At 42.8% G+C, this 8,880-nt stretch overlaps 1 long non-coding RNA gene and 1 other non-coding gene across 2 annotated transcripts in view, besides 3 other annotated features; both read left to right on the top strand.

Moving 5' to 3' along the window:
- DLEU2 (deleted in lymphocytic leukemia 2) overlaps positions 1-8,880 on the top strand; it is a 142,993-nt gene that overhangs the window by 128,552 nt on the left and 5,561 nt on the right. Inside the window, exons 12-13 of the long non-coding RNA NR_152566.1 lie at positions 3,029-3,197; positions 8,369-8,404. This is a non-coding gene — a long non-coding RNA (deleted in lymphocytic leukemia 2). The remainder of the gene's footprint in view (positions 1-3,028; positions 3,198-8,368; positions 8,405-8,880) is intronic.
- Positions 212-341: a silencer, noted in NCBI's record as "silent region_5351". NCBI's record gives its function as "represses an Ori minimal core promoter by ATAC-STARR-seq in GM12878 lymphoblastoid cells {active_cell/tissue: GM12878}" and the evidence as "EXISTENCE:reporter gene assay evidence [ECO:0000049][PMID:35858748]".
- MIR3613 (microRNA 3613) lies at positions 489-575 on the top strand. Its single transcript, NR_037407.1, has one exon. It is a non-coding gene; the product is annotated as a microRNA 3613 (primary transcript).
- Positions 522-651: an enhancer, noted in NCBI's record as "active region_7757". NCBI's record gives its function as "activates an Ori minimal core promoter by ATAC-STARR-seq in GM12878 lymphoblastoid cells {active_cell/tissue: GM12878}" and the evidence as "EXISTENCE:reporter gene assay evidence [ECO:0000049][PMID:35858748]".
- Positions 932-981: a silencer, noted in NCBI's record as "silent region_5350". NCBI's record gives its function as "represses an Ori minimal core promoter by ATAC-STARR-seq in GM12878 lymphoblastoid cells {active_cell/tissue: GM12878}" and the evidence as "EXISTENCE:reporter gene assay evidence [ECO:0000049][PMID:35858748]".

The following is an 8,880-nucleotide window of genomic DNA, read 5'->3' as shown; positions in this document are numbered from 1 at the left end:
CGTCCCTTCCCCCTCCCCTCCCGTCCCTTCCCCCTCCCCTCCCGTCCCTTCCCCCCTCCCCCTCCCTTTCCCCTCCCCCTCCCCCTCCCTTTCCCCTCCCCCTCCCCCTCCCTTCCCCGTCGCCCGCCTCCGCCTGCACCTCCGGCCCCGCCTCCCCGTCCCGCTTCGCCTGTGTCCCGCCTCCCCGGCCGCGCCTCGCCTTGGCGGAGGGAGCCGGGTGGTGAGACCGCGTTCCTTCCGGCGTCTCCAACCGCCGCCTGCTCCCGCCGTCCACCCGCGCGGGCCGCCTGGGACGGGGAGGGCCGGGCTGCGGGCTTTTCTCCCTTCCAGAGTCCTGCGCCCGCCCAAAGCCCCCCCGCAGAGGCTGGGCAGCGGCTCCGGGAAGTGGACGCCGTTTGCCCAGACGGTGGGCTCGACTGAAGCGGCGCGGTCCCGGGTGGGGCCGCCCGGGAAGAAAGTCTCCCAGTTAAGCTGCCGTGCAATTAAGATGGTTGGGTTTGGATTGTTGTACTTTTTTTTTTGTTCGTTGCATTTTTAGGAACAAAAAAAAAAGCCCAACCCTTCACACCACTTCATCCGCATCTCAAGACCAGAAGCCGACCCCAGCGGCTTGGGGAAATGGAGCCCCGCACCCCACAAGGGGGAGGGTGGGACGGGCACCTCCGCACTGCGCGGCCTGCGGAGTCACCGATTCGCGTTGGGAGCGCGCCAGGAGCGCCAGGGCTCTAGCCGGGGGCTCCGGGCAAGGCGCAACCAGAAAAGGGTTCAGTATCCCCCATCACCCCCACCCCCAACCGTACCCTCTTTCTTTGCGGGCTTTAGGCAGGACACCAGAGACCCAATTCTATTTAAAATTCTCTTTTAAGAAAAGGAACGCCTGTTTTTGCCTTTGGGGGAAAGGATGAACTTTCAAATTGGCTTTAAATTATCCACCACTAACAGTTACTCAGTCGATAACCTGACTATTCTGACGTCCACCTCCCGTTTGAGGACCTTGCCCAATAGCAAACGTACTAAGCACTTAACCAGTGAACGGTGTGAAGGATGCAAACATGGATGATGAAGGAATGGCTCCTCCAGAATTTACGATCTTGGGAGAAGTGAGGCGAGTATAGAATCTCAGAACACGCTGTAGGATTGAGTTCGATCCCAGTTGAGGAAGTTTGGGTTTGGGGAGGAAATAGGTTATTTTGGAGAAACGGTATTCAAAACCTACCATAAATAGCAGTACAGCCCGTTGACTAATAATGCTTAGCCCAACCCCCGTAAAAAGCCCCTGGCCACATCCGTCTCCTGAGATTCCCACTTCTCTGTGTGCATCTCCCTTCCTGCTATAAGAAACCTAACTTTGCCTTCGTAGAACACTTCTTTTAATTTCTGTCATTCAGTCTCATAACACTGTGTAAAAGAAATTATGATCTTCATCCTATATAGATGAGAAAACAGGTGAAGTGACTTTTCCAAGGTACAAAAGCAAGAGGCAGAGCTGAGGCTAAAGGCAGCTTCCAGATATGGGCTCTTTCTACAGCACCATAACTGTCAGTGACAAAACTGCACCCCAGTACCTTACTAAATTTAGTGTTTTTAGGCCAGGCACGGTGGCTCACGCCTGTAATCCCAGCACTTTGGGAGGTCGAGGCGGGCAGATCACCTGAGGTCAGGAGTTCCAGACCGGACTGACCAACATGGTGAAACCTGGTCTCTACTAAAAATACAAAAATTAGCCGGTCATGGTGCCGTATGCCTGTAGTCCCAGCTACTTGAGAGGCTGAGGCAGGAGAATAGCTTGAACCCGGGAGATGGAGGTTGCAGTGAGCCGAGATCCTACCACTGCACTCCAGCCTGGGCAACAGAGCAAGACTCCGTCTCAATAACTAAATTAATTAATTAATTTAGTGTTTCTAAAAAAACAAAGTGATCTGTAGAAACATCTCATTTATTTGTTGTCATTGTGTGTTGATTGATTTTGAGACAGGGTCTATCTCTGTCCCCCAGGCTGGAGTGCAGTAGCATGATCATGGCTCACTACAGCCTCAAGCCCCTGGGCCCAAGTTATCCTCCTCCCTTAGCCTCCCAAGTAGCTGGGACCACAGACATGCGCCACCACGCCTGGCTAATTTTATTTTTTGTAAAGATAGAGTCTCACTATGTTGCCCAGGCTGGTGTCAAACTCCTGGGCTCAAGTGTTCCTCAGGCCTCAGCCTCCCAAAGTGCTGGGATTACAGGCGTGAGCCACCACACCCAGCCATATGGAAACATTTCAGATATCCTAATATTAAAATGATATTTCACAAGACTGGACAGTTATTAACTCATGTGAAAGGAAAATCTTGGGGCCCCAAAATCACTAAGCTAAAGGAAAAAGTCAAGCTTCGGAGAACTGCTTAGGGCAAACCTGCCTCCCATTCTATTCAAAGTCATCCCTCTGCTCACTGAGATAAATGAATATCTGATTGCCTCCTTTGGAAAGGGTAACCAGAAACTCAAAAGAATGCAGTGATTTGCCTCTTATCTCCCTAAAACCTGGAAGCCCGCCCCCTGTTTTGAGTTGTCCCACCTTTGCTTCAAGTCGTCCCACCTTTTCTGGACTGAACCAGTGTTCATCTTACACACGCTGATTGATGTCTCGTGTCTTCCTAAAATGTACAAAACCAAACTGCTCTGACCACCTCGGGTTCTGACCTCCTGAAGCTGTATCATGGGCACGCATCCTCAACCGTGGCAAAATAAACTTTCTAAATTAACTGGGACATGGCTCAGATTTTTAGGGTTCACACGCAAAACCCACAAATTATCCTTAATATAATTATATAATATATATTTATGTAGTTAGATCTGGTTGGTGGTAGATACTAATACACTTTTGCCCAACTAAGTGTAAAACACATTAAATCTGTATAGCAATCTCTAGACTATTACACAAAATTAACTACTAACTAGAAAACACAGTATATTAAATTCTCTTAAGTGTGGAAAAATGGAGAAGGAAGAATAACCTTTTCTCTCCTCCCGTGGTCCTAATACACAGAACAGCGACTGGGAAACTGCCACTAGAAAAAGATGACTGTCCAACTAAAACCTGCATACACAGCTACATCCTTCCCTGGAAGAGCACAGTGGAACTAGATCCTAGTACAGATAGCACAGGGATTGTCAACATTCTTGTCACACTGAAATTTCCTTCTACTGATCTCCAAGTAAGTAACTAACAGCTGAAACTTGGAATTTATATATCAGCACAGCACGAAGACTATAGATATATCTAGTCTTATGTAAGTTTCATATTGTGTGATAAATGTATTGCCCCCCCCGCCCCCGAATGCCGGCCCCTTGAGAAATATATTTTTACAGGGTAGAATTTCTAATATATATAAAATGCATAATGTTAAATAATGTTTATATATTAATATGTTATATACTAATATTAAATATAAAATATACTGCATATTATATTTTTAATATAAAATGTATATTATTGCATTGATTTACTTCCTGGTGTTGTTTTCATTCCTGGGCCTTGACAAAGATAAAAACTTCTCAGCCTTCCTCCCCACCTACCCAGACAGAAATGATCAGATGTTCCATAACAAAAGGGACAGTGCCAAATTTAGTGTACACTGAAATGTAAATTGTCAGAGTGAGGAACATCTAATAACAAAGCCTGGAGCAACTGTGCATAGGGGAAGGGGTCTGGTAAGCCTCCCTAGATACAATGGAACTTTTTTATTATTATTCTATCCTTCCATTTAGCTGCCAGAGTCATAGATGCAAGCCCCAACATTCCCCAGTGAGAATTCCTGCCACTAAAAGACACTGACAGTGCAAGATGTAGAGAAAAGAGCATAGGCTTTGGAATCAGTTCTGCATCCAAACTCTAGCTCTGCCATTTACTAGTTGTTAAAGTTACTTAGCATCTCTAAGCCTCGGTTTCCTCATTTGTAAAATGGAAATCATGATACATTTGATCATGAAAATTAGGTAACATATAAAGCAACCAACATTGCGTCTGATGTATAGTAGGTGTTTAATAAGTAATTGGTGCTGTTATATGCAAAAAGAAAACCATGCTCATTTGTAAGCATGATTTCCCTAGATTTGTAAACTTAGGACTCAAGTACAATAGTCTTAAGCAGAGCTAAACTGCCTATGCAGTAAAAGAAGCTAGCACCATAATTTCTGCTTTTCTGCATCTAGCCCAGGGTGGCTTTTCAAAAGCATATATCCCTCTGCTTTTATACCTCTTCCCCTGTGCTTGGAGAAAGGAGAGAAAAACAATAAACATCAAACTCAATGAAAGAAAGACCTTACTGTTTTTTGGGTTTTTTAAAGTTCTGTATTTTTGGAGAAATTGAACATTCAAATATTCCATTAAAAGGAAGGTAAAAATGTATTTATCACAAAACACAGGAACTTACCTAAGACTTGATGAAATTAAAGGGAATTAGTCCCTAGTTTGAGGAAAATTCCAGACTCTCTATATTTCAGTTGCACAGTGAAGAGTATGCATTAAATGGAGACAACAGCAAGATCAGTTTCTTTGAAAGAGAATGAGAGACACTTAAGCAATAGTAAACTTGACGTTTAGTTATACTATTTCTGTAGATAGAAAAGCTGTAAGAATAAAGTAAAATAGGTCAGAGGTAATTAAGGTAATACTAGTATATGCTTATAATTTTATACTCACTCAAATTTTATAATTCTCAGGATTGTGCTAGGCATCAAAGGTAATTCCCATTCGGCTAAGAGACACAAGGTCGGGCACAGTGGTTCACATGTGTAATCCCAGCACTTTGGGAGGCCAAGGCAGGTGGATCACCTGAGGTCAGTAGTTCGAGACCAGCCTGGCCAACATAGCAAAACCCCGTCTCTACTAAAAATACAAAAAGTAGCTGGGCATGGTGGCGGGCGCCTGTAATCCCAGCTACTCGGGAGGCTGAGGCAGGAGAATCACTTGAACCCAGGAGGCAGAGGTTGCCGTGAGCCAAGATCACACCATTGCACTCCAGCCTGGGCAACGGGAACGAAACTCCGTCTCAAAAAAAAAAAAGGGACACAAGTACTGTTACTAAGTACATAATAGTCGTTGTTTAAAACCCAAAATAAGTGATGAAGACAAGGCCAGAGGAAGGCACTAGAAGCATAAGGGAAGATTTCATAAGGGAGGTGGGTGGGAGTTGAACTGCATCTTTAAAAATCACAAGATTTGAAGAAGAGAAAGAGGAAGAGCTTTCAAGGTGAGGAACACACCACAAGCTCAGGGTGGAGATGAGGAGCATGGCCTGCTTTGGAAATAATGTTTGAAGCCAAATATTGAAATGGTTTACATGTCAGAACAAAGAGCTGAACTTCATTTTGTAGGAAGTGGGGAGCCACTGAATAATATGCATGAATGAAAACAAAATTTTAGAAAGATTGATCTGATGACTAGGTCCAAGATTTAAAGAGAAGAAATTTATTTATTTATTTATTTATTTATTTATTTTGAGACAAGCTCTCGCTCTATTGCCCAGTTGCAGCTCACTGCAGCCTAGGTCTCATGGGCTCAATGGATCCTCCCACCTCAGCCTCCCTAGCCTACAGGTACCCTCTGCCACACCTAGCTAATTTTTGTATTTTTTTGTAGAGATGGTGTTTTGCCATGTTGCCTAGGCTAGTCTCAAACTCACAGACTCCAATGATCCACCCGCTTTGGCCAATCAAAGTGCTGGAATTACAGGTATGAGCCACTGTGCCAAACCAAGAAATTTATTTTCATATTTTGAGATTTGTTATTGAAAATTACAGATTTTTAAAAATGCAATAACATATAAAAGTACATCATATATGGTTCAGTCTTACTGAACCATTTAATATAATATTTTGTCAAAGTACTCAATTTATAAATAAAATATAAAAATCATTAATTGTGACAAATATTTTCCTAAAATCTTCCAAAAGGAAACTATATATGTGTGAATACATATAATTTGCTTGTATATCAATCATATGTATAATTTATCTTTCTTTTTTTCTCAGACAGAGTCTTGCTCTGTCACCCAGGCTGGAGTGTAATGGTGCAATCTTGGCTCACTGCAACCCCCGTCTCCCAGGTTCACGCGATTCTCCTGCCTCAGCCTGCCAAGGTTTACAGGTGCCTGCCACCACCCCTGGATAATTATTTGTATTTTTAGTAGAGATGGGATTTCGACATGTTGGCCAGGCTGGTCTTGAACTCCTGACCTCAGGTGATCCACCCACCTTGGCCTCCCAAAGTGCTGGGATTACAGGCATGAGTCACTGCGCCCAGCCAATTTATCTTGTTAGAATGATTGTAACTGTATTCTGTAAAAGGCCGGTGTTAATAGATTGCTTAGCTACATTTTAGAGTATGCTTCACTAGAGCCTTAAAAATCATTACATATATATCCTCTGAAATGTATTATTGCTTTGATATTTTAACAATGATTAATTACATTCAATTATGACAATTAAATGTTTTTCTAAATTCCCATATATGTAGAATTTTATTTTTTACAAACAGTAACTTTATGAGGGCCTTAAGAAATGATTAATTTAGGCTGAGTGTGATGGCTCACGCTGGTAATCCCAGCACTTTGGGAGGCTGAGGTGGGCGGATCACCTGAGGTCAGGAGTTCGAGACCAGCCTGACAACATGGAGAAACCCCGTCCCTACTAAAAATACAAAAAAGTTAGCTGGGTGTGGTGGCGCATGCCTGTAATCCCAGCTACTCGGGAGGCTGAGGCAGGAGAATCACTTGAACCTGGGAGGCGGAGGTTGTGGTGAGCCGAGATCACTCCACTGCACTCCAGCCTGGGCAACAAGAGCGAAACTCCATCTCAAAAATAAAAATAAAAATAAAAAATAAATGATTAATTCAGCTAAAGACTAATAGATACTGTATATTTGCAATTGTTGGAGAGCTCGATTTGTATAAATTGTTTATTTTGAATCTTTCTGAGCTCACTCACCATTATGTGCTAATTTTTACCCTGAGAAGTGTCAATTATGATAACATTTTGGATTAGAAAACTACTTTCATCCTGTTTTATGGGAGATTTTTAGAGCATTTTTAGAGCATTCTATAAATAAGGATACATCATGGATAGGGGTTCTGCAGTTTTCAGTAGCTGGTAGATACCTGTACCTTAAGCACACTCTTTGTCTTAAATAAAGACAATAGACCAATGCATAGAATTTTTGTTCTGAGGATCTAGACTTTATCAGATACTTCCTATACAGCATTGCATAAGACATAGATGCTTCATTGTTTTTAACATGAGCCCAGTTGAGTCTCTCTAATATTAAAGCATTGGGTAATAAATGCCTTGTTAAAATGTGTTTATCTTATAATGGTCTTGTTTGTAACACTATCTGGATTGTTGCTAGAATGCCCCCAGATCTCCAGAAGTGTGGAATTTGATCTAAAGCAACCCACACCCCTCCCAGTCAGGCAAAAGACACAGATAATTCAGAAGATGGTTGAAACTAATTATACAATATCAGTGCATTTTAAGCATTTTGTGAATGTCATTGGCCTCCATGTTGCTAACTCCAACAGATATTTTTTCAGTTCTCATTTTCCTTGATCTTTTGGTAGCCTTCAACTCTGAGTACCACTGCCTCCTTTTTAAAAGGCCCTCTTTTCCTCTGCCATTAGTAACACTAAACTCACTCCTGGCTTTTCTTCTTCAGACTCAGGAATACTTGCTGGGTCATCCTTTTCTACCCAGCATTTAAATTCTGGAATTCAAACGCTCAGTTTTAGGACCCTCCTAGGAGTTCAGTGATCATTTATTGACTCTTACAATCCCTGTCAAAAACACAAACTGTTTGCCTATTGTTACTCTATTTTTAAATGATGAAAACTGAATTTTAATACTTGAGAGGCATGTCACTTCTTCCTCTCCCACAATCCTTACTCTGTGTAGGCATTTGGGTTAGCCCTTGTGTTACCCGAGGCTCATACTGCTTCCAGCAGCAGGGCTCCTGCACCCTTAGTTCCTTCCCTAACGAGGCCCTCACCAGCCACCTCCCATCCCCATCCTCCAACCATAGCACAACTGACAGTCTCAGGTGAGCTTTCCCAGATGTTTCTGGCCAATTAACAGACCCTGTTAATCATCTCATACCATCTAATACTGCTCTTCCATCATGCACTCTGCAGTTTGTTAAATTTATTTGTGTAATTATTTGATTAATGTTTGTCTCCCCACTTGACTGTAAACCCCATAAGAGCTGGGATTGTGTGTGTGTGTTTGTGTGTGTGTGTGTTTTCTCATCATTGCATTACTAGCACCTAACCCAGTGATTTCATGAATGTCTTAAGGAAGTAAGAGTCTCCTATTTCACGGTATTGATGTATTTCAGACTTCTAAAAATTTGCTGTTGAGACCAGCTGAAATGGTAAGTACTCTGAATTTTAATTTACTCAAAATAGGCACTTCAATACATTTTACTTTATCAAAACAAAGTAGCTTTCCATCCTTTCTTTACACAGCAAGTATTACCATACTCCTATAGTCAAACTCTTCCTAGAGTTTACACAGAAGTGCTGGTAGTCTTCATTTTCACAGAACAACATAGCATAACTCTTAAAATGAGGAGAATTTCCTGAAGAGTCATCAGAGAATTATTATTATTATTGTTATTATTTTAAGACAGAGTCTCGCTCTGTCACCAGGCTGGAGTGCAGTGGTGAGATCTCAGCTCACTGCAGCCTCCACCTCCCGGGTTAAAGCGATTCTCCAGCTTCAGTCTCCCAAGTAGCTGGGATTACAGGCACGCACCACCACACTTGGCTAATGTCTGATGTGCTCTCACTAAGGTAAGAGTCTATTTATGCCTGGGAGATAGAGGAAGCCTACAGTCTGGAAGCCCAA

This window comes from Homo sapiens, chromosome 13, assembly GCF_000001405.40.
Source record: "Homo sapiens chromosome 13, GRCh38.p14 Primary Assembly".
In the NCBI taxonomy this organism is placed as follows: Eukaryota; Metazoa; Chordata; class Mammalia; order Primates; family Hominidae; genus Homo; species Homo sapiens.
Note: the sequence above shows the minus strand (reverse complement) of the source record. Positions and strands in the feature narration are given on the sequence as shown.